The sequence below is a fragment of the Homo sapiens genome, chromosome 14, assembly GCF_000001405.40.
Source record: "Homo sapiens chromosome 14, GRCh38.p14 Primary Assembly".
NCBI classification, from domain to species: Eukaryota; Metazoa; Chordata; class Mammalia; order Primates; family Hominidae; genus Homo; species Homo sapiens.
In genome coordinates, this window is record NC_000014.9 from 59,586,221 (window position 1) to 59,611,713 (window position 25,493).

At 40.1% G+C, this 25,493-nt stretch overlaps 1 protein-coding gene across 3 annotated transcripts in view; it reads right to left on the reverse strand.

Moving 5' to 3' along the window:
• RTN1 (reticulon 1) overlaps positions 9,756 to 25,493 on the reverse strand; it is a 274,801-nt gene continuing 259,063 nt past the window's right edge. For 2 of the 3 annotated variants that reach the window (NM_021136.3, NM_206852.3), the window contains 6 exons: positions 21,065 to 21,272; positions 19,148 to 19,286; positions 17,632 to 17,701; positions 16,992 to 17,038; positions 16,845 to 16,903; positions 9,763 to 10,567 (listed from right to left, as the gene is read on the reverse strand). In NM_021136.3, coding sequence (NP_066959.1) covers positions 10,525 to 10,567; positions 16,845 to 16,903; positions 16,992 to 17,038; positions 17,632 to 17,701; positions 19,148 to 19,286; positions 21,065 to 21,272 — 566 coding nt within the window. In that variant the 3' untranslated portion in view covers positions 9,763 to 10,524. 3 annotated transcript variants of the gene reach the window in all.

A 25,493-nucleotide genomic window follows, 5' to 3' on the forward strand; every position in this document is an offset into this window, starting at 1 on the left:
AGTTAAGCCTTTGGATTTTGTTGTGTTCTTCCAGTAAATGCCCATTTATGGTTAATATACTTTAGTGGGTTTCTATTACTTGCAACCAAATAGTCGCGCTGAGAAAGTGTTGTTCCTGAGCTAGAGACAGTAGGGAGAGGGGCCAGGAAACACTAGAAAGGCAGTATGGCTCAGCGGAAAGAGCCCAGCTTCAAAAACAGACAATCAGGTCTCATTTACTGGCTGTGGAAACTTGCGCCAGTTACGTTGAGATTTTGTTTCCTCACTTGGAAAATAAAAATAAAAGTACCAATCATGTAGAATTTTGAACTTCTGAAGGTTAGAAATAATGTTTGTAAAGAGCCTGGCACAGTCCCTGGCTCAATGATGCTATACAATTCCTAGGAAATTTTATCCTGATAGCCTCAAAATAACCTTATTGACTAATATATCAAGTAGCTGAACTATATAATTAGTTAATTGGCTAGATATATGTAATATAATACCCAAATAAAGAATTAAAGAGCAAAATGAAAATGAAAGTAAAGTTTTGTAAAAAGGGGAAAAAAGTAAGTGCATTTTATCTAGTAAGAAATTCTGTAACAGCCAGAAGAGGATGCCCTTGGCTTAGCGCTATTCTTCCCAATGGAGGTTACAATTCTATCATAAACTGGGGGCACAGAAGGGCTCATACAGATAAACTACCATGATATAAAGGTCCCTAAAGAAAACTCCATTTATTCTATTGGGAATATATTTTGTGGTAGCAAGCATTTGAATGTTCTTTCCTACTTAGGGGAAGAAAAGAAAACAATGAACTATATATTCTATTGAGCAAAAAGGTAGACAGGATCGATTTGCCACTGAGAGATTATGGTGTGGTAAGTTCTCTTTGAGAAAAATTTAAGAGTTTAAAATTTTCAAGTTAGGAGTATTTCAAACATATTTATTGGATGGAATGAGTACTACGGAGTTTCTGGATATTCTTATGAATGCCCCATGAAAAAATAACAATACTGCCTATTTAATAGTTATCTCAGACTAGATGCATCATAGTCATTGCTGAGCAACTTGTCCTTATACGAATTTACATGCTGAGGTGCTATATTTGTACTGAGCCCTCAATATGTGAGTAGTATCAGAAAGAAAATACAGACAACATAGTAGTTTCTGACAAGTGTATGCCCTGATGGAGGAGAGAAAACACCCTACCAAACTGAGTGGTAGTATTTAATTTTTAAATTTTCAAAGTAACTTTTTGAATGGAGAGCCTGTGTCTGAGACGGCTGTAAGAAGAGTGAAAAGGTTGTTTATTGCTTGGGCTTTCTCCCTGTAACCTTCATGGAAGGCTGGCTGCAGCCTTCCTCTGAACCTCAGCTCCTGTCAGGAGGCCCTGGCTACTTTCTCTGGTTTAAGTGTGCATTCCCTCCTTTTGTCCCTTCAGGTGTAAGGGTGGTAGAGGCTCCCACTCTTGCTAGACCACAGGCACCGCATCATCTCTTGTTCGTCTTCCTAAACTCTGCCCTACTTTTTCATTAAACTCCATTCAATTACTCTTTTGAGTGTGCTGTTACCTGCTAGGCTCTGATTGATGGATTGCATTCACAAAAATTAATAGAGAAAAATTCAGTTTTGTTTCTTTTTAAGGACAATATAGACTCCAAACTATATTTTTAAAGGTGTTGCCTAATAGTCCTCATAGATGGCACATTTTAATGAATAAATAGGTCTTGTCATCATTGTTGGCTGTTGTAAGTAAAGTCTATTGGCTTTTGGTATAAAAAGACCTGGATTGAAATCTACTCTGTCTATGGGACACAGGTACTTCCAATCCATTCCCAAGAGGAAAACAAATGGTGGCAAAACTTGTATCTTCCCTCTACCCTTTCTTCATTCTTCTCAAAGGAAGAAGCGTGATATTGGAGAGGGAACTGAGGAAGCCTGGCCTCATCTGCTCTCTCCCTGTCGGCCTGGCCTGCCCCCCAGACTCACTGCTGCTCTGCTTCCTTGTATTGTGAGCTCTGTCCAGTGCAGGGGTAAGGTGCACATCCTCACTTGGTGTTGAGGGAATAGAAATCACAGGAAGCCTCACTCTGGCCATAGTTAAGCAACTTTATCAGTAGCAGAACTGGTCATCTGATCTTCATTCAGCCGGTTCCTTGGCATGGTTCTCAATTGACTTGCAACTTAGAGATAAAATGTGATTGAATAACATTCTCAAATCCAAACCTCTGTCTTTAATACTGATCTTAGGCAAGATTTGAACTAGGAGTTCATTTATATATAAAATGGTATACCTCTTTCTATAGGCCTAATTTGAAGATGAAATGAAATAATAAATGTAAACAGCACAGTGCCTTTTATGGTTATAAGCTGTCATGTTTCATTTGAGAGGAGTTTTGGGCTTTAAAAGTCTTTCAAATACCATACTAAATTAAAATGTAATATTACTAAGTAAAATGAAAGACTTGAGATATATCCATAGCACAAATATTAGTATTTTTATCATTTTCTTAAATTTTGGTTATAAATAAGAGGACTGGTCAAATAGAAACATGAAGGGCAATTAGCAGATCATAATTCAAGAACTGGTAGCAAATTTGATAATATAAGAAAAAAGAGAACTTATTCTTAGAATGTTTCCCCTATATTTAAAAGTTTTGATACCTTAAAAACATCCAGTGTGTTTGAGAAATCTAATACATTATTTTGAGTAAGAAAGATACCATAGAAAAATGTATATGAAATATATTTGTTATTTTAAATTTAAAGGCAGAATTCAAAAATTATATAGATAATAAGAATTCAATTATTTTTAAATGTCTAGGGAAAAAAAGGCTTTATCCCAAAATGCCAATGGTGGTTTTCTTTGAATAGGAGAATCTGCATCATTTAAATATTCTGTAATTAATATATATTACTTCTGTTATTGAAAAAAATAAAAAACTTAATTTAAAAACAACAATGGCAGCTGGGTGCGGTGGCTCACACCTGCCAGCACTTTGGGAGGCCAAGGCGGGTGGATCATGAGGTCAGGAGTTCAAGACCAGCCTGGCCAAGATGGTGAAACCACATCTCTACTAAAAATACAAAAAATTAGCCAGGTGTGGTGGCGGGTGCCTGTAATCCCAGCTACTCAGGAGGCTAAGGCAGACAATTGCTTGAACCTGGGAGGCAGAGGTTACAGTGAGCCACTGTACTCCACAAGTGGCACAAGATTGTGCCACTGTACTCCAGCCTGGGGGACAGAGTGAGACTCTGTCTCAAAATAAATAAATAAATAAATAAATAAATAAATAAGGCAGAAAGAAATTAGAACAATTATTAGTTATATAAAGCAAATCAACAATGTTAAGAGAATAAACTTTGCTTTGAAACATATAAATTCCATTCTCCTTTGACACCCACCAGTTAGTTTACCTATTAGCAGCAAAGAGAAAGGCATGGGTGCAGGTATGAACCAGAGATGCAAGTAAGAAAAATCTAAATTTTGATTTGAACAAAAATGGGCCCAAATGAGAGAATAATATTTACTGGGGGGTGATTTTTCACTCATTTTCATAGCTTTGGTTTTGATAGGTATGGGGTTTGGAACAATATTTCAATTTTTAAAAAATGAGAAAAAGACACCACAGATAAAATGTAAACAATCTAAAACCTTAAAAAGCACACACACAAAGAGAAAGGATGATCTTTCAAAGTCTTCCCTGAGGAAAGATAATTACATTCAATATTTGTTGTATGCCCTCATATTTTCTATGTTGATTTCATTTTACAGATTAATGTTTCCCTGTGCATTTCATATTATTTTTGTAGCTTACCTTCTTCACTCGGTGCTATATTGTGAACAATTTTCCATGCCAGAATATCATTCCCCAAGATGATTTAAGTGGCTATATGGTCTTTCATTAGAAGGTCTATAATTTACTTATTCAATTGCTTGATACTTGGCATGTTAGGATTGTTTTCAATATTTGCTATTGTAAAAAACATTGTCTGTACACCTTTGGGAATATCCCTGATAATGTTATAAAGATTTGATAATAAAATCCTTCGTTTATTGTTGCTAGCTAATTGGAAGTAAGGGCCTCACCTGCCTTTCTGGAGGACAGACACTCACAGAGTTTCTGAGAGGAAGAAAGCCAAGATTGGCTAAGATGCAGCATGGTCTTCCCAAGTCTGCTGTCATGATGCAGCCCCCTTTCAAGGGTCAAAATCTATTTCATCTCCCAGCCAAAACTGCCTTCGTGGCATCTTGAGCACTGAAGACCACGTATCTCAAACTAGGGTTACTTGGTGTAAAAAGAAAAACATGGTATATTCTCCTTGAGTCAACTTAATGCAGAAGTATGGGGAAGAATTTTTAAATTAAGGTAAATGCAAAGGTCTTATGCAATGACAGACAAGTTCACATTAACTTCTAAGATGAAATATGTGATTAAAGAAATTCTTTGCTTGCAAAGCTGGCTTCTGAACCATCTCCACTGAAGGGGTATACATTCACACTCTACTCCCAGTGGGAAGCTTCCCTGATAGGGGAGAAGTGGGAGCTTGAAGCGCAGTGGGCTTCCACGTGGTTGCATGTGCCTCTTGAACCACAGGGATGTAAAAGCATTCCAGGAACATGTCTTAGGGAAGTGTAGAGCTTTGGAGAGGCACTGTGGGTGAGGACTGGCCAGGTATTCCTCCAGAATGTTCTGCTGAAAAGATGAAGCACTGCTCCAGAAAGCTGGAGGCAAATCTGTGTACCCCATTTCGTATGTTCTTCCCTGTTCATTTCTCTCTGTCTCCATGACACACACACCCTTTTTATTGACTGGCCCTGGATTTATAAGTCAAGGGAACAAAGACAAAAAAGAGAATTATCTATTCACTACTTGAATTTTGACAAAGTACATTTTACCTTCACCTTGATTCATAAGCCAAACATAAGCATTTCCTCCATTGAGCTTATTAAGTACTAGAAAAATGGCTGGGAGATGCTAAAACCATATTTTATTAAAAGACAAGTTAAATTTAATTTTAATAATACATTTAAGAAAGCAGTCTTAAATATCTTGATTCTGACATGTCAAATGCATCATGAAAAAATCACTTTGGGGAAGATATAATTCAATGTGATTGTTTTGTTACAAAATGCTAGTTACTTAAAATGTTTGAATATTTTTTTAAAAAAGGTTAATGTCTCGTCCATTATATTTGGCTACCTTATTTCTGTTAGAGATGGCTAGAAATAAAGGTTGAAAAAAAGTTACCCTTCATATGAACTGTTTAATTTTTGAGTATTATTTTGACATAGGCTGCCATTAGTCACTTAAGAATTTGACTCCTGTCATAATTTAGTGATGACTTCTCTTGTTTTATAAAGACATAAACATACAAAGCAAAATCCAGAGCAGTTGTATGTTTAGAGAAAGCAGGCCAAGATGAAGTGTTAATTCTTCAGGACCATTTTATCATTTTAGGGAGAAACTGTTGCAGGCCGAAAGTGTGAGGGTTGTGATCAACTCAGTATACCACTGGAGGCTGTATGAGTAAACAGCAAACTGTTCTCATAAATGCAGAATGTTGGCAAACTCACAAACTGCATCTGCCACCCAGAAGGAATGCTGAGGGCAGACATGACCCAGGCACAAGTGTTTCTTATGATTAGGCAAATCCAAAGCCTGTTAGCAATAATATGCACCTGTCATCAATCAAGCAGCTGACCAATCGTTAGCTCCTCCTCCCTGCTCTTCCTACCCAATAAATACGAAGGGCTGTATAAGCTCAGGGCTGCTGCCCTTGCTCACTAGAAGCAGGGAGCCCTCTTCTTCTTCCCCTGGCACCTTCCTTTAAAACAGTTTCTTTTGTTTTTTTGTTATTATTTCTACGTTCATCCCCCTTCATTCAGTCTCGTAATGATGGTCTCAAGTAGTAACAGTAGTAACTGTCATAGTGATAGTCTCAAGTAGCAATTGTGGCAGTCTGCCACAAGAAACCAGAGACAGCTGATTCTAGCAGAATTGCTTTCAAAGACAATAATGGTCTAGAATGCAAATTAATTCATTTCAATGTACTCATCAAAGAAAATGTGGCCAGCCAGACTGATTTTGTAACATAGAATTTAATATTAAATGTATTGAATTAAGGAAAATTTAAAATCATAAAATAAACCACAAAAATAAAATTATACAATAAAAATCTGATTAAGGAGCTTGAGGAGGGTGCCAACATCAAGCACTAGGGAAGCCGGTCAGCGTCTGAAGGCAGGTGGCCCTTCTGCCTGGATCAGCAGAGGGGACTTAGTCCCCCTCCAACTACGAACGCATTTGGTATGAGCTCCAGTGGTGGCTCCTCTGTCTCCCCTACGTGCTTCTCTGCACACAGAAGAGAGTGCTAACCTTCTGATGCTCAGAGCAGCCCTATTCAAGGACAATGTGGTGATTGCTGGAACCTCACAGCTGTGAAGCAAGGCCCAGCAATCAACCACACCCCACGTGCATTTGGGTGAGGTAGAAAGCTGTGGGACTACTTCTCAGCAGTGATTCCCTAGAGAGAGAAACAAAATGCAGAGATAGGTTTGGGATCTACACCAGGAGGAAGTCTTTATAATAGGGTAAGGGACCATATGAGCCCTGAGGTAGTGTCAGGTGGAACTGTGCACCACCCTTAAACCAGATATGTTGAAGCCCCAAACCCCTGTACCTCAGAAATGTGACCTTACTGGAAACAGGGTCTTTATAGAGATAATCAAGTTAAAATGAGGTCCTTAGGGTGGGCCCTATTCCACTACGACTGGTGTCCTTATTCAAAGGGGAAATTTGGACACAGAGGGAAGACAATATGACACAGGGAAGCGGCACCCAGTGACTGGAGTATCCCATCTGCAAGCCGGGAGCACCAAGGATGGCTGACAAATGCAGACATTAGAAGAGGCAAGGAAGTGTTCTCCCTTAGAGCCGAAAAAGAGAGCAGGGCCCTGCCAACACCTTGATTTTGGACTTCTAACCTCCAGAACAGTGACAGAATAAATTTATGTTGTTTTAGGAAACCCAGATTTTGAGGCTGGGCCTGATGGCTCACACCCGGTAATCCTAGCACTTTGGGAGGAGGCTGAGATGGTGGATCACTTGAGGTCAGGCGTTTGAGACCAGCCTGACCAACATGATGAAACCCTATCTCTACTAAAAATATAAAAATTAGCTGGGTGTGGTGGCACGCGCCTGTAATCCCAGCTGCTTGGGAGGCTGAGGCAGGAGAATCACTTGAATCCAGGAGGTGGAGGTTGCAGTGAACTGAGATTGTGCCACTTCACTCCAGCCTGAGAGTTTAAAAAAAAAAAAAACCCCAGATTTTGATACTTTTGTAGAGTAACCCTAGGAAACTAACATGGGTGGGGAAAGAGCAGAGGACATAGAAACTATCATGCTTTATCCGTTAGAATACTGCAGCTTCTTCATTTGCTCTTACTGCTTTCACTCATCCATATATGGGCTGTAAGAATTTTCTACTGTTCACAGCTTTCAGAATCACCTCACTCACTCTGGATTTTCCAGGGGCTCTGCTCTTGGTCCTCTTCTCATCTGTTCACATTATTTCCATCATCTTGAATATCACCTGGGCTGATGCTCCCTGTAGAAACAGGGTATAATGTGCCCCATGTTCCATTTGTGAAAAATCTACATCCATACCTACTATTTTGGAAGCCTGGAGTTTCCTTAGGAAACTTCTCCACCACTGCCAGCAAAGAGAGTTCCTAATTAGACCTTCCTAATGAGCAGCTGCCTGTGAGAGGAATTCTGGGTCTATAGTATGAGGACAATGTTGCAGATACAGATATTGAAGATTAATTCTATACAATAAAGCCATGTAGAAGAAACTTTGTCTAAAAGGTTGGAGGCTGAAAAACATAAAGAAAAAAGAAAATCCTCTTCTAAATCTAGTAACCATTAAAAAAAAAATCAGGCACCAAACTAAGCTTAGTATCTTCTTTCCCCAAATAATCTCTTCTGGGCTCTCTGTCCTGGAAAATGGCATTGCATCCTGCTGATCAGCGAGTCTTAGTGCTGGGCTAGGGTGAGGCAACCGAGCTTCCTTGGGTGCAAAATTCAAGGAGGCACTCATTCTCAAGGCCAGCTTTCATCTTGAAGCCCCGCAGCTAGTTGGTTACCAGCTCCAGTCCAATCTCCCTCCACATCATCTGTTAGCTGCACCTTATCCATGGTGGGTGCTTGGCATGCTGGGCTATCAAGGATCAGGGACAGGTGAACATCTTTCTATTCTTTCTGTGGCTGTTCTAGTAAAGACCTAGTCATTTGGCACCTGGGTGGAGTTAGGTTACAATTATCACTCTATTTGTCTAGCCTTCAGTATCTTGTACCTTTGTTGTGTCTATGTGACTCTCTGAGATGTAGAGAATAAAGCCCAAACTCCTTGGCACAGGCATCCAAGTTTCTTCCCATTGTGATCTCAACCCACCTTTCCAGCTTTATCTGGCACTATCATTCCCACCCCAAGAACTTTACAACCCATCTAAGCTTGTTTAACTCACCATTCTCTGCATATGCCTCACACTCCACATCTTGGCACTTTAGCTCATGTTCTTTCTTTATCTCGGGCTGGACCTTCTTCATGTGGCAAAAACCAAACCAGGACCCAGCCGTGAAGTTCACCTCCCCTGAGAATCTTCTGTTGCTCAAACCCTGCATCATGGCTCGTTTTTTTTTTTTTGGAGACAAAGTCTCGCTCTGTTGCCCAGGCTGGAGTGCAGTGGTGTGATGTCAGCTCACTGCAACCTCCGCCTCCCAGTTTCAAGCGATTCTCCTGCCTCAGCCTCCTAAGTAGCTGGGATTACAGGCAGGTGCCACCACACCCAGCTAATTTTTGTATTTTTAGTAGAGACAGGGTTTCACCATGTTGATCAGGCTGGTCTTGAACTCCTGACCTCGTGATCCTCCTGCCTCAGCCTCCCAAAGTGCTGGGGTTACAGGCGTGAGCCACCGCGCCCTGCCAATGGCTCTTGTTTTATGCTACCCTTTGCTCAGTTGGCATTTCCACATAGCCACCTGCCCTTTCCCCAGCACAGTGATGAGAGTTTCTGGCTGTTGGCACAGTGCCAAGTGACCCTTGTAACCTTCACGCCACTTTGTATAGAAGGATAACTCCACAAATATTCACTGAACCCAGGTGTAAAACTGGTAAAAGGCAGCTTTTTATAAGCAATCATTCCTTTTTTTCTCCAACTGCTACTCCTTTCATTCACTTCTACCTCTTCGTCTTTGATGTTTGATTGTAGCAGTGAAACAAAATATGCAATTGGACTTGTATAAAAAGCAGTGAGGAATTATTAGAAGACTTCACATGGTGAGGGCAGGAATTGTCATCTTTCTTATTCACAGCCCTATTCTAAGTGCTTGGCACACAGTCAGTGCTTAATAAGTAATTACTAAAACGGTGAGTTCATGGCAATTACAATTGTTTTTGCCAGTGTTTTGTTGCATATTGCCGTACAGTTTATGTAAGAATTTATATCACTTTCAAGTTTTTAAAAACTATCTTAAATATCTGCATCCACCTGACAGAGTACAATATGAAGAGTGATTGACAGTTTACCACTTTTCAGTTTTCTATTAATGACCCAGAAAAACCGTAAGCCAGGTTGCAGTTTGACTCCACAGTCCTAGAGAGAAATAAGGTGAGCATTTGCTCTCAGCCCTCCTAGAATGTCATCGAGTGACTTCATCACTTCGAGCTTTTGTGTTTTCTGGTAAGACCATGCATGAGAAGAGAGGGAGAACATTCTACATTTAGTAACATTTATTTATGCATTCAGTATCAAGTACATAAGTGCAAATATCCAGAGTCCGTAATTGAATCCATTAGGAACTACAGAGAAAGTAATACAAATTGTAATAAAGTTAACATGCTGGTACTTTTTAGTAACCATACATGTAAATCAGCCCACCAATCCCATACAACAAAAGTACTGCATGTTTGTTTTGGATTTATTCATTTATTTAATTATTTTAAGTTATACAAAACTGATTACCATAAGTGCGGTCGACTGCTTTTATTTTTACGTTGTGTGTGTTGGAAAAATGCTAAAACATCAGTCTACAATTCTATATATTGTTATTAAAGATTAATCCAACCAGCAACCCAAGGACATATAAGCGATTTCCACTATTGCATCAGAGCACTCGGCAGGAAAGGCCTAGCCACGGGGAACATTAGAAGCTACAGAAGCATTGCAGAGAAGAGAAGAAGAACACCGAAGAGGGAAAGATAACTTGGGCTCTCACCATCATGCACTTTTTTTAGCAACACAAAATTAAAAACCACATCTAATACACTTTTCTCTATACTTTAGTGGTTGACACAAGTGACTCAAATATCCTAAGAGTACAAGGAACAGCCTAAAAACAGCTGTTTTAAGGTTTGTCTCTAAGATTATGGTACTGGAGGGAGGGGGGAAAGACAATCAATTTGCAGTAATGAGTAAGAAGAGAGCTGTTACCACTCCAGACATTCCTGTTTGTGTCCAGTCCCCGGTGGGAAATCAGTTTACTCAGCATGCCTCTTAGCGCCTGGGATTTTAGCCTGAATCCTAAAAAGACAGTATCAAAAGGTAGTAAATCACAAGTGTTATTAATGAAATCATTTTATGTGTTGTTGCTTTAATTAGCTAAGTGACCAAAGAACTTAATATTCCAGAAGATATTATAGTCTTTATGTAAGTACATCTGCAAATACTCTTCTATAAAGCAATAAGAAGGAAGTAAAAACTGGATAATGAAAATAACAGCAACAAAAAAGAGAATTGGAAGAAAGCCACATTTTTTAGATCTTTTTAGGTGGAGGAACATATTGACTTATTTCAGGATTACAGAAACTGTGATATAGTTAGGGTGATTATTTATCCCCCATCTGGGACACTTCAGAAAGAGAGAGAAAGTGCTATTACTGACTATGCCAGGAAGATGAGCATAAGTAGGGATGGTTATATAACTAGGGATATAATCTGTTCCTATGTTGGACATAGGAAAAGGAACCTATGTTCACCCTCAGAGTAGTCTAATTACCCACAACTGGAATTTAAAAAGCTGGGTCCTAGTCTCAGCTATTCTATTAATTAGCTGTGTGGCATCCGGCAAGCTAAGGGACTTTTCTGGTCCTAAATACTCATTAAAATGTGGGCATAGACTAGATATCTCCAGGGTCCTGAAATTCTGTGATGCTCACAATGTAGCAGCATGATTTTCGGACAGGTTTACACTGGAAGTGTTTTGTTAATTTGAAGATTTATGAGCTTATCGTGCAGATTTTGATTGAGACCTCCCTCTGTGCCATGAGGTACCCTTCCATGTACTGGAATTCAGTGGTCAACAAAAGGGAGGAGATGCTTGCTCTCATGGAGTTTTCATTCCTGTAGGAATTGAGGAGACAGAAATAAACTAGAAGACAAGAGAAGTTTAGATGGTGATAACTGCTATAAAGAAAAACAAGGTGGTATGGCAGGCAGTGAGGGGCACAGTGGTAAGGTGTGTACCACCTCTTTTAAATCCACTCATCTGAGAAACTGATCCTCAGAGGACAGGAAGGGACCATCAGGCAAAGATCTGGATGTGAAGTGTTTCAGGCAGAGGGAGTAATGAGTGCAGAGGCATCACAGAGAGGACAAGCTGGCGGCAAGGAGATGAGAAGCCCGTTTGCTTGGGGTATGGACAGGGGAGGTCTGAAAGGCAGGCAGGGACCAGATGGTGGGTGTTGGAGTTTGTGGGATGCGGTGAGGAGTTTAGATTCTACCCTGTGTGATGGGAAACCATTGATGAATTTAGGCAGGGGAGTGACGTGATCTGATTAATGTTGTAAGAAGATCATGATGGTGGCTGTGTAAAAAAAAAATTGGGAAATGAGAGTAGAAGCAATGAACAGAGGGAGAGAAACCCACAGCAGTCCAAGTACCCGAAGGCAATGCCTGGATTGTATGGTAGACATGGAAATGAAGAGAGGGGAACAGTCTCAGGGTTAGTTTAGAGATGAGGCTGCAGGACCCACTTGATCTGTTGATAAACTGAATGCATAGGCTAGGATTAGAAGAAGAGTAATCAAGGAAGATTCTTTGGTTTTTAGCCTGAGGAACCAGGTGAAAATGCCATTTACCAAGATTGTGATAACTGAAGGAAATACAAGTTCTGGGGTGAGATTGCACGATGTGTGGCTAAGTGAATCTGAAAGGTCTATCAGACACTTTAGAGAAACCTTACATAAATAAGTGGATAGACCTGGTGCTTAGTTGAAGAGGTCTGGGCTGGAGACACAAGTTTGCAGCCCTAGACATGAGATAACCTTTAGGGTCACAGGACCAGAAGGGAGTTGGACAAGAGGAAGAGGTGCCAGCAGAGGACATGTGCAATGGTGACCATCTAACTTCTATTTGAATACTTGAATGAATGTCAGGGTACTCACTCCTTCATGGGGCAGATGGTTCTATTATTGAGCAACTCTAATCATTACTCTTTTCCCTCATATTTCATTCAAATCTCAGAACTTCTAAAATTTCCATTCACTGCTCTTGAGAGAAAAAGGGAAATCCTACTCCTTTAGCAATGTTAGACCTCCAAGTATTTGAGAATGGCTATGGTGTCCTTTTAAAGTCATCTATTTTCCAGGGTAATCATCCCCAGCAAAGTTTGCTCTTCACTGCCCATTACTATCAGATTTCTAATACCACAGTACCCTGGTCATCTTTGTGGCATTACTCCAATGTATTAATGCATCTGTTAAAATGTCCAACCCTGAAATTGAACACAGATATGGGATGGCCAATATGGAATATAATATGACTGTTGCCTATGTTGATTTAGACTTTGTACTCCTACTAATAACAACTCAACTTGCATTGATTTTTTAAAGATGCTTCAGCACATCATTGACTCACATTTGGCTGTGACCAATCAAGCAATTAAAACCCCCGAGGTATTTTTTACATACACCCTTATTGTTACCCTCTCTCATCTATCCCTCGCCGCATTCTATATCTGTAAAGTTGACTTTTTAGAAACCTAAATGTAGGACTTCACTTTCCTTATTAATTTCATTTTATTGATTTCAATTCGGCATTCTCGCTTACTCAAGATCCCTTGATTCATTTTGAATCTTGAGCTTGCCATCTTCTGAATTTGCTTTTGCTTCAAACTGTACATCATCTGGAACTTTGACAAAGATATTTGATTTGTCTTCACATAGTCATGAGAAGTAATGGGGTTGAAAGTAATGGGATCAAAGGCAGAGCCCTGTGTCACATACCTTGGCCCAGACACATATTGGATGGATTAATGAACATCTTTAGGGTCTATTATTTCAATCTTCTAGAATTCTACCACCTGTGCTATCATCTGGATCATACATCTCCATTTTTTTCCACAAGGACACCAAGAAGACTTGCTGACTACCCCCACTAAAATCAGAATACTCACTGGCTAGGGAAGTCCATCTCATCTCAGGGTTTAGTGAAGATACACTGATCTATTCTGAGTATCTACAGTTTTACTAATTCATTCTGGATTTTTGCTTGAAATTAGGCCTTCAGTTTATCAAATATAACATCTAGAATCTTTCTTTCTTCTCATTTGAAGATCGTGACAGCTCCTTTCCAATTTGAGTTTTCAGGATGTCCTTTATTCCATGAGATTTATCAAAGGTCACCAAGAGAGCTTCTAGGTAAAATTACAAGCTACTTTGTCATTCTAAAACATAACTCACCTAGACATAGGGAATTGTATTCACTTAAAGCAGATTTCTTATTATGGTCTCACTTACTCGAAGCTTTAATTTCCTCTACAGTGTTTATTTTGCCTTTTGAAATTTGAGGCTTTTTTCCTCATTTTCAAAACTCTAAGAAGTGTTATTATGCATTATTAACCCCTATTTTAAGCTGGAAAACTGAGACAAACAAAGGTGAAACGACCTAGACAGGGTCACTCAGTATGGAGGAGAGACTGGCCCTGGTGTCTACTGGCCCAATCTGGGACTGTCCTCTACCTCCAAGCCCCATGAACCGATCTCTAAGCAGTAATCGGATGATGATGATGATGATGACAATGATATATAATATTGAGGGTTTCCTACATCCAAGTAAGAATACTTTACAGACATTACCTCATTTAATCACCAAGAACCCTGTGTGGTATTAACATTTCCAATTTACAGATAAGGAAATAGGCTCATAGAGTCAAATAACATTTATGATGAGCTCATACAGCTAAAAATGCCAGAAATGGACTCAGTCTGTCTGATTCTAACAATCATGTTCTTAACTGTACCACTAAAGTGGTGTAAGTTCTTTTGCTGGAATTATTTATTCTAAGGTGGAATTACAATTTCAGAGGTTGAAGAGGACTTAGAGTTAAGATCCCACCAAGAAATTTCCTTCAAAATGTAGTGCCAGGCAAAACAGGTTATTTGGAAGAATTGTTGTTTCCTCCTCTCTGATAGATAGTGAGAACCATGTGACTTGCCTAGTTTCTCTTTTTGTCCTAGCTACCAGGAAATTCAGAGCCAACTCTGCCTGAAGCTCAATTACAGAAGCCATATTAGTCATAGGTAACATTTCCTTTCCATTCCTTTTCACAGCATTGATTTCCAATTGTAATTTAACAAGTACATTGTATATACTTTATATTCTCTGCCATCTCTCTTTTCCCTCCATTTTAACCAGGCCATGCCCTTGTCACTTTTATTTGAATTATGATAACCTCCTAGCTGATGGCCACATCTCTAGTCTCTCCCCTCTCCAATTCTTTTCTCACTAGACTGCCATAGTGATCTTTAAAAAACATAAATCTGATGATATCAATCCCCTGCTTAAAAACATCAAGGGGTGGCCATTTCCTGCTGGGTTGGAATCAAAACTCCACAGAGCATTCACCACCTGGCCTCAGCCTCTCTTCCTACATTCTTTCCAGTTGATCTTTCGACTCAGTTAAGCTCTAGACATACTGGTTGACTGTTGCCTATTAAACATGACTTACATTTTCATGCTTCTCTGTCTTTGCTTTATTACCTCTTCCTCTTGCAACGTCTTTCCCCTTATCATCCACGTGATGACTGTTTACCCATCCTTCAAGGCCCAGGTTGAATGCCACCTTATCTTAATGGCTTTCCACTATCCTGTCCAGGAAGGAACAATTGTTTCCTCATCTCTCTGACTTTAGTATTTCATATAGCTCTACTGTACTTATTATATTTTATTATAGTTATTTCTGTATAATTTTGTCTGCACCACTGGGCTAAGAGCTCTTTTAGGGCTGAGATCATTTCATTTATCTTTATACCCTCTGTACCTATCATATGAAGTGTCCAGAACATAACAGGTACTCCTCTTTTTGGACTCAACCAACAAACCAAATGAAAAAGTAATAGGTATGATTTGTGATACTCAAACTAAGTATTGGACAACTTAGGTCTAGAACTTCTATCTTCCAGTTTCCAAACTCCTATTCTGGTATTCTTTGCTATAGTTTATGAACACAGTTCTAGTTGCCAAAAAGTCACCTGAAGAGTTCATTAAAATATACATTCCAGGTTACCAATCCTAGACATTCTAATTCTATAGGTCTGTGTGGAGTCTTAGCATTTGTATTTTTAAACAGGCTCCTCAGGTTCGGGTACCACCAAGTCTCATACTGTGCTATGATACCATTTCTTAATACAAAATAAAATGATTATTTTATGCTTAATGTGTTGATTTTCATTAGGTATTGGTTACACCTGGGTCCAAGCTGATACGTTCAGGCATTTTGAAATGTGTTGTAGATCTCTCAAAGATCCAAATTCAACATAGAACCCTATGAGTTCCTAATGACTTTAAGAGGACAAATGTAAATAATACACAGTAAAAAACAAAAGTTTATAAACTTCAGAGGGAACTGAAGCACATCACATATAATCTAAGAGCAGAGGAACTTTAATGTGATTGGCCTTTCTTATTTTGTTATTACACATCTTTAACTACCTAAAATGCCTCTCTCTAAATCTGACCCTCACCTAGGTCCAGCCACATTATTATCAGATAATTAGATAGAGTTTTTGTGAAAAAGTCTAGTCCTTTGGTGAAATATATTTATAGTTAAAGATTAGGCTAGCTTTTTAATAAAACAAAATATTGAATAATAATGCAATATAAGAGCTATCACTTTAGATGACTACATACCTAAAAATAGTAATGTAAGAATTAGGGAAAACTCCTAAGTTTAATGATCATGTTAGCTATGGGTATGTAAAACTGAAATCTCTATCTCCTAATATATAAGGGAGCCATAAAGTAAGGCTGAAGACTCAGGTTTAAAAAGCAGTGGTATTAAACACATACACACAGTTGTCGAGTTAAAATGGTGTGATGTATTTAGTTGGCAAACATTTTATGTATTTTAAAGTTCTAAAAATAATTCAAAGTTTTAAAAGTAATTTAAATGATTTTTAAAAAATTAGTGCTATTCATTGTTTAAAAGATTAAAAATGTTAACTTGTTTTTATTTGAATTAAACTGTTAATTTTACTTTTTTGAATCAAGTTTCCTTCTTTCCTCCAATGCATCTTGTTCTTGTACATGGGCCAGTCCTTAGAGCTTAATATCATGCATTCATTAAAACTTATTATGAAACCTGAATAAACCACTGGGTTTAATTTAATTGAGAGTTTAAAAACTTATGCTTATTTTCTAAAATAACATAATTGAGAAGAGAATGAATATATGATTCCAGTAAGTGAATGACCATAAATCAATCTATCATTTTACTATCTTCTCATTACCCCTATCCTAATCCACTCAAATGCTGATGTAAGAGAGTCTCTCCTTTTATGCATTGCACTATGTGACTTACTTTGCCACAACAGCATTTATGTGAGTCCTCACAAGTCCCAGATATTGGTCAATCTGTGCCTACATAAAGAAAAAAAAAATAATGAGCATATCCAAAGATGATGAGGTCAAAATTCAATGCCATTTTTTGACATCACATAGAACTTACCTGGTGCTTAACATACACTACAGGTAGAGTAAACATTGAAACCACAGCTGGGATGAAAAACAAATATAGTATTAAAATTCTGAGTTATCAATAAGAATACGCTTATAGACACATTTTTATATGGTTATATGATATTATAGCATTATTTGGAATATACAGCATTTTATTTTATTTTTTATTCCCTATTTTGAGAAGCAATATCCAGCATTCTAGATAAAAGATGACAGGGCAGTTCATAGGGAAAATAAAATGATGCTGAGCCCTGTACAGGTATTTTGTAATTATTCCTAGAATTAGGATAAACTCTCCCCTCCCAAGATGAAAATGAATCCATCCATAGCTGCCACTGTAAACAGATCCAAATATATATATTGATCCAAATATATATATTACAAGCCAGAAAGAAGCCAGTTATGTTTGAAGAAAAAAAACCCTTTAGACTTAGGAATTCATTATTAGTGTATAATATATATTATACTCTTTAATTGAACTATGATGGTAAGAGAAGTGCTCTGCACTCAGGGATATCTGGCATTTGTTCCTAGGAATCTCTTTAAACAAACAAAAAGCTTACAGCCTAGGAAGCAGCGTTTTCACAGAGGGGGTGAAGGAAGACGTATACAGTCTTATCTGCTCTTACCCATGAGCAGCAGGGTCAGGCCATTGAAGAGAGCGCCAACGTAGGTCAGGAGCCACATCAGGACTGCAAACTGAAGAACGAAAGCATTATTAGAGCTCCTAAAACCCTTCCTGACAAGTTAGAGTCTCATATCATTGACTTTTACCTAGATTTGAATTTGAGTCAGAATACATCATGATTTCGATAGTCAATGAAAGGCGTTGAAAGCTCATCACAGAATCAATGAAAGAGGATCCAGTCCTTAGTTCTCTTGGAACTATTTGGATCACTTTGTTATAAGGTTTGAGGGACTCAAGGAAATAATAATCTACGAAGCTGTGGCCCTTGACCGGTTTTTGCATAGGCCCACGAGTTAATAAAGGTTTTTACATTTTTAAATGTTCAAATAAAATCAAAACAAGATTAATATTTTCTAATATATGAAATGATATTGAATCAAATTTTTAGTGTTCAGAAGTCTTATGGGCACACAGTCAAGCCCTTCCTTTTTGTACTGTCTTTTTCTGCTTTTGTGCTACAATGGCAAAGTTGAAAAGGTGCCACAGATGGTGTGGCTTGCAAAGCCTAAAGTATCTACCATCTGTCTCTTTACGGACAAGGTTTGCTGACCCCTGTTCTGGCCCACAATTTTTACATTACAAATACAACCATGGCCTTAAAAGCACTAAGGTAAGTAATTATAATTGCCCTGGTATCTCTCTTCAGTCATTATATGGCAAGTCATTATTCCAGTAAAGCATTTTGAGGGTCAAGACCACATTTTTCACTTTTCCTTCTGCCCTTCTTTGAACAGTTACCAGACAGCTCCCAGTACAAGCCCCTGCCAGGGTGTGTATAAAGTGCTGTGAGAGCACAGAAACTTCACAACTACCTTGTCTGGGCTTCCCCAGCTCTGCTTATGACCATGCCGAATCACGATTGACTAACTTTGATTCCACGTGTAAGTCACCAGGAGGCCAAAGCAACTTATTCAAAGGAACCCAGCAAATTCAGTGAGAGCCCCAGGTGCCCCTGATCCTCATCAAGTGAGAGGCTGGGCATACCTCTAGCCTCAGAGCTGTAACTACATAAGCACACTTGGAGGGCTTACTATTAATATTAGTAGAATCTAGAGTTTCCTTCAATGCAAAAGTATATATGGTTTTCACATTCCCTATCTAGATTTTTTATCTTAATATTAATTTTGGGAAATTGTCGGAGGAACTAAAAATGGTTTAAGGAGACAATCTGGTGTGTTGTAAAGACTATAGAGCTAGAAGCTATGTGACCTGGGTTTGATTCCAGCTCTGCCAGTGACTCACTGGGCAACCCTGGACAAATGTCTCAGCCACATTTTCATCATTGGTACAATGAAGGGATTAGACTGGTTCATGGTGCCATACAACTGGAGGTCTTCTGACTCTAGAATATAATTAGCACTTGCTTTTTATTCTTCTTGATGTAGCAGTTTACAGTATTACACCTTTAGGGAAAATAACAGTCAAGACTGTGAAGTGAACAGCTTAAGCAACTATACTTTTAAGGAATCCACCAGGTCCTGGACAAGGAAGAGCCTCCTCAGTTCCTTAAGTGTGCTGTTCACGTAGAACTGCAGGCAGTCCGTGTACTTCTGAATCTGCTCCTGAGAAAGGGTGATCTCAAGCTCCAAGTAGGCCCTGTCAACAAACCATTCCCACAGAAAATTCCGTCAGAGGGAATCATGAGACAGGCTGCCGAACCCCAGTAACAGCTAAGCGTTCCTACTCTCACTCTGAGGGTGAGAGCAGGAGTCATCTCTGGGGGGTTATGCCAGCCAGTGAGGGCCACAGGGCACCGTACACACCTGCTTCCATGCACTGAGAACACAGAAAGCATGGTTCTCAGTGGAGCATTGTGACTGTTTCTGGCTACCTAAGACACAGCATGGGTGGGCTGAAAATTCAGAGAAACCAGCTGGGACCAGAGAAAAAAAATTAGTGCCAAATCAGCTCATTTGCTGAATTCTCCACACATGACTTCATGGAGATAAATTATCTTTTTTTAAGTAGTTGAGATAGCTCAAAATCCTAGCTGCCAACTGTTCCTCATCAGATCTCTAAGAATTCATGTTTAAATTCTAGAATTTACTTCCAGGTTTATAGAAAGAGCATTGAAAACTCAAGTGACCTGGGCCATATTAAAATACTTATGGGTTCTACTGAGTGGTATTTTTAATAATGACATTTTTCATTAGTTCAAATGGTTAAATTTAATTCTTGGGTGGGAAAAACATGATATATATATATATATATATATATCATACCAGCTTAAGCCTCCTCTGCTTGGCCAAGCTCCTCCACAGAGGTCCATCCTTCCTCTCTCCTTTCCTGCCTCCCCTCTGCTCTAAGACTGCACCTGTTATCTACCTAGAGGATATTTCTAGAGTGCTTTAAGTGCTTACTTAACCCTGTGAATTGAGATAAAAAGAGTAAAGCAGTATTTGGCTTGAGTTTTCAGGAGTGTTATGGACTGAATGTGTCCTCCCCAAATTCATGTTGAAATCTTAACCCCCTATGTGATAGTGTTAGGAGGTGGGGCCTTGTGGGGGTGATTAGGTCATGAGTGCACAGCCCTCACAAATGGGATTAGTGCCCTTAGAAAAGAGGCCCAAGGGAGCTTGTTCACTCCGTCCCACAGTGAAAGTGAGGACACAGTGAGGAGCTGGCAATCTGCAACCCAGGCAAGGGCCCTCAACAGAATCCTACCCTGCTGGCACCTTGATCTTGGATTTCCCAGCCTCCAGAACAAGCACTCTGTCTATGGTATTTTGTTATAGCAGCTGGCAGTGCTAACACCTCCCTCTGCCACATGTCATATATCCGCTTAGTTAGTAGATTGCCCTTTTATTTTTGTATTTCCTCCTCTTCAATGTGCATTCAAATCAGGTTTCCCCAGTATAAAAATGTAGAGGAGGATACATGAGAAGACTGTTCATGAACCCTGCACCCCCACCAGAAGGTTGGCCCTTTGGTGTTAAACTTCTAGAGAAAGCATGGAAATAAAGACCCAAATACCCTAGTCCTGGTTTCGTGCTATTTACTGGCCACCTGGCCTTGAGCATGTCATGTCACTTCTCAGAACCTCAGTGTTCCCACCTGTAAATAGGGACAAAAATGCCTGCTGTGCCTTTCTGATATTGCTGAGAGGATTAAGTAATTGTTGGATTATGATTACTGTTAATAGTAAATACATATGAAAACTCAACAAAGCAATAAGTATTGGAATAAGAATAATCGAGTTTGTTTCAGAAATTCACCAGAAATGTTAGATATTCAAAGACAGGGTGTTAGGGGAGACTCTAAGAGGTCTGTTGGGTCTCAGAGAAACATGACTCAAGTGCATCTGTGAGCTGAAATACAGGTGAGGGTAAAAGCCCCTGGTCAGTGGGTGAGGGCTCCTCAGCTGAGGCACTCACTTGAAAGGGTGGCCTTCGTCGGTTTTCTGCACTGCTTGTAAAACAGACTTGTAGATGCGGAAACTGATGGTGGCTGAGAGTGCGGCCAGGGCCAGGTAGGCCACGACGCTCACCACGCTGAACTGGGTCAGGGAGAAGAGCAGCAGCAGGAAACTCCCAAACACGATGCCCGTCTGCTTGATGTCCCGCCAATACAACAGGTCAATAGCTGCAGGAGACACCAAACACACCCAGCTGAGCTCCCGCAGTGCCGCCACATGAGCCGCTGTGGCTCACTCCACCAAGCTGTGGTTGCTGTGGGTTCTCACCTGGCATCTGGATTCCTAAACACAAGTGAGCAGACAGATGGCTGTGCCAAGGGCACTTACTGTCATTCCACTTTGGTTTGGAAGAATCTTTTCCACCCTTGAGGATAATTCACAAATTCACATATAAGAAAAGACTATTGAATCTCCATTGACCATATCGCGATGGGTGTAGCTCTGTGGGCTACACCATCCATACAGTGGCCTGAATTATGTGACTTTGAAACAAACTTGAAAATATAGAGGACTCTGTGAAGTACCACTTCACTCCACTGCACTCCAGCCTGGGTGACAGGGTTAGACTCTGTCTTAAAAAAAAAAAAAAAGAGAGAGAGAGCCCCTGGAGCTGACATGTGGACTAAACCATTTTGTTCAACATGGTTTGTTTGCTTACATTCTGTGATTTAAAAATCTGAAATGAAACCTTTAAAATCTACATTGCATCCACCATTCAGTTATTACCCTCCTTCAACTTAGAAACAAAAAATTACATGCAAAAGAGTAGTCATAGTGCTTCAAATGTCATGCAAAATGGAAATACTTTAAATATTCCAGTCCCGGGATATAAAAAAAAATAGCATAAAACCCTTACTGAAGGATCTATGCAAATTTACCCTCCAACTGGGTATGTGACAAATGGTTTTTATAGAATTCTATGCCAATCAATTTTAAGGAAGAGAAATAAGATGCAAAATTCCCATCTCACAACCAAATGTAAGTGGTAGTGGTTTGTACTGCTAGCTTCACCTGCAGTGTACCTGCAGACACCTGGTTTACAGAATTAGACTCCAGTCATTTGCTCATAGGAAGACAGAAGTGATCAGGTTGAAGAGAGCAGGGAGCTACTCCCATTTTACATGGGTGTGTAATTAGCATGAAAGAACAATATTGAAAAAGTCACATGCCCTCATGACAATGCAAGGCAATAGAGGTGACATAAGGAATTTTTGCAGAGTAAAGTACTAACCCTCTCTTTGGCTACAGACTTACCTCAGGCTGGCTGGAGAGTAAATCAGGTCTAAAAGAGTCTCCTTCATAACAGGCTGAGGATACTCCCAGCAATCTGAAGCCGGAGAGAGAATTCACTCCCCACAAACTCCCCACCCACCACCACTACCTGGTCCATCAGGGACATTAACTCAGAAAGACTCCAGTAGGCAGACCTTTGTTGGGCAAAATTTGTTCCCTTTCCTCTATTACATTTCTGCCATGTAGGAAATAGAGAAGAGGCTCACAAGCATGTTTTGGGGGTGAAACAGATCTTTTTTTTCTCTTTTGAGTAGGACTGGTCCTACAAATAGGTTTCCAGAGGCAAAAATAAAAAATAAAAAAAAAGTACTGTGCTCTAAAGCCTCTCTCTTCTCCCTATCCTGACCCCAGTCACACTGTCTGACCATTAGAAATTCATTTCTGGGCTGGGCATGGTGGCTCATGCCTGTAATCTCAGCACTTTGGGAGGCCGAGGCAGGTGGATCATCTGAGGTCAGGAGTTCGAGACCAGCCCAGCCAACATGGTGAAACCCCGTCTCTACTAAAAATAACAAAAGTAGCTGGGCATGGTGGCAGGCACCTGTAATCCCAGCGACTCGGGAGGCTGAGGCAGAAGAATCGCTTGAACCCAGGAGGCAGAGGTTGTAGTGAGCCAAGATGGCACCATTGCACTCAGCCTGGGAAACAAGAGCGAAACTCTGTCTCCAAAAAAAAAAAAATTCATTCATTCATTTGGCCTAATCCTTTTCTTTTTTTTTTTTTGATGCAAAGATGCTAGAATAGAATAATGTGTTAAAGATTTGCTTGTCCTTAACAACAAAACATGAATGAGTTCACCAAATGATTTTTCTTTTAGAAGGGTTTGTTTAGAATGAAGCACCAAAAGCCATAATCTTTTTCAGGTGGAGAAGAGGGATCTTTTGGAAGACATGACCTGCAATAAACCCCTGGAACTCTGAGAGTAGAGGGCAGAGTGGGAGAAAAGGGGCTCTCCACAGAAGCCCAGCAGCTCCTGGGTTGAATGGATTGGAGACAATAAATTGGGGCAAGCCTAGGCTAAAGGTCTAAAGCCAAGGCAGCAGGGCTAAAGGTCTTTGACGGTCCGGGGCCTCCAGGTATTTACTCTCTTTGTGCAGGGGAGGGGCAAATGGGAATTAAAAGGAAACTAAAGCATCACCACTAACTGAAGTGTTACCTCTTACACATCTGTTTTCATTTATTGAGCAGGAACTAAGTGCCAGGCTTTGTGCTGGAGGTGGGGATATAAAAATAAGTGAATTATACAAAACAAACACACACTCACACAAATGGATAAGAAATAAATGGTAATCTGTTTTATGATGCTCGTACATATTTGGAAACAAATACATTATAAGACAGAATGATTTGTGCTGAAGGGGGCACTCCTTAGTGTGAAGGAAGATGCTTACCCACTTGTGAGACGTGAAGGGGCTCAGAAGAGCCTGAAAGGAGTTTTCAGACAAAGAGAAGATAGAATTTGCTATTTTCAAGTGAATCCCCTCTGAATGAATTGCTTTATACCTGGTAGAAATGGCATGCCCTCTAGGGAAGCCTCCTAAATCTCCAACCAGGAGGCCACCTGCTCAAGAAGTCTGTGAATGGCAGGCACTTCATGGACTTTCCTTGAAGAAACTGTGGGCAGAAAGCATTAGCTAAGTAACATGAGTTTGGTGTAGGGTCGTCTCTTAGCAGATCTTTCAATTACTTGCTAAGATTGCAGGAGGTTTCTAATAAGGAGGTTAACAAAAGGACTGTTATCTTAAAACAACAGGCTGTTGGTTCTGGACACTTTGCAACAATATTATCTATTTACATTGATTCTGAAATGTTCAAAGCACTCTCATATGTTATCTCACTGAAATCTCAGAATAAACTCCATTATATAGGTATGTCACAGGTGAGGAAACTAAACTTTTAAACTTGTAAAACCACCTTTGCAAAATTATGACTGAGACAGTGAATGAGATCTAATTAACTAACTCTTGCTTCTAACCTCCAAGCTGTCCTTGTTCATTCCTGGGCATAGGCTCAACTAACTTTAGGAGAAATTTAGTTTATAGTTTAAACAAAGATGGTAACTGCCCTTTCCCAAAGCACACCTCCTTCTTGCCTGGGGACTAGATTGCCTTTGTAGGACTAACATTAGCCACAAGATAAGAAATTATGGTTTAGGAGTCATGCAGCTGGAGGCTACAAGATTCTGACCCTCCCTAAACTGCTCCTAAGATCAGTGCTTGAGATACTTTGCAGACCCTGCACTTGATGAATAAGCTGGCCCCACTCAGATCAATAAACAGGCTCATCTGATCTTGTGGCCCCCACCCAGGAATTGACTGAGCACAAGAAGACTGCTTTGACTCCCTATGATTTCATCTCTGACCAATCAGCACTCCTGGTTCACTGGCTTCCCCCCACCCACAAAGTTATCCTTAAAAACTCCGCTCCCTGAATGCTCAGAGAGACTGATTTGAGTAATAACAAAACTTGGTTCTCCCACACAGCCGGCTCTGTGTGAAGTACTCTTTCTCCATTGCAATTCCCCTGTCTTGATGAATTAGCTCTGTCTAGGCAGTGGGCAATGTGAACCCCTTGGGCAGTTACAAATTTGGGGGCTCATCCAGGATTGCCCTTGTGGCTACCTGCCTGTGGTTCAATGGCCCCCCTCCAGTGATGGATCCAGAAGCCAGCCCAAGTGGCCTCCTAGTTCTCTTGGACTGGCGGCTGACTCTGGTATTCTTTCTACTGGCGTGGCACTGCTGACCCAATGTGCATGAATTTAATTGCAATGGAGAAATAGTCCTGGGGAGATGTCCTTTAACTGTTGCCTTATCACAGGGTGACTGTAGCCCCATGGTGGGGTGTCTGTCTGTAGCCCCATTGCAGGGTGTCCAGATTGGTGAGTATCCTAGGTGCTGCCAATGCCTCCTTTCTTCTCCTGACTGGTAATGTAGCCTATGGGGGGTGTCTGTAGCCCCATCGTGGAGTGTCTGTTTCTAGCTCCACCATGGGGTGTCTGTGTCTGTAGCCTCATTTGCAGGGTGTCTGTTTTGCAATTTGGGGGGTCTCAGTTGGTTCTTTCTAACTAGTATGAAGAGTCTTGGTTTGGGAGACTT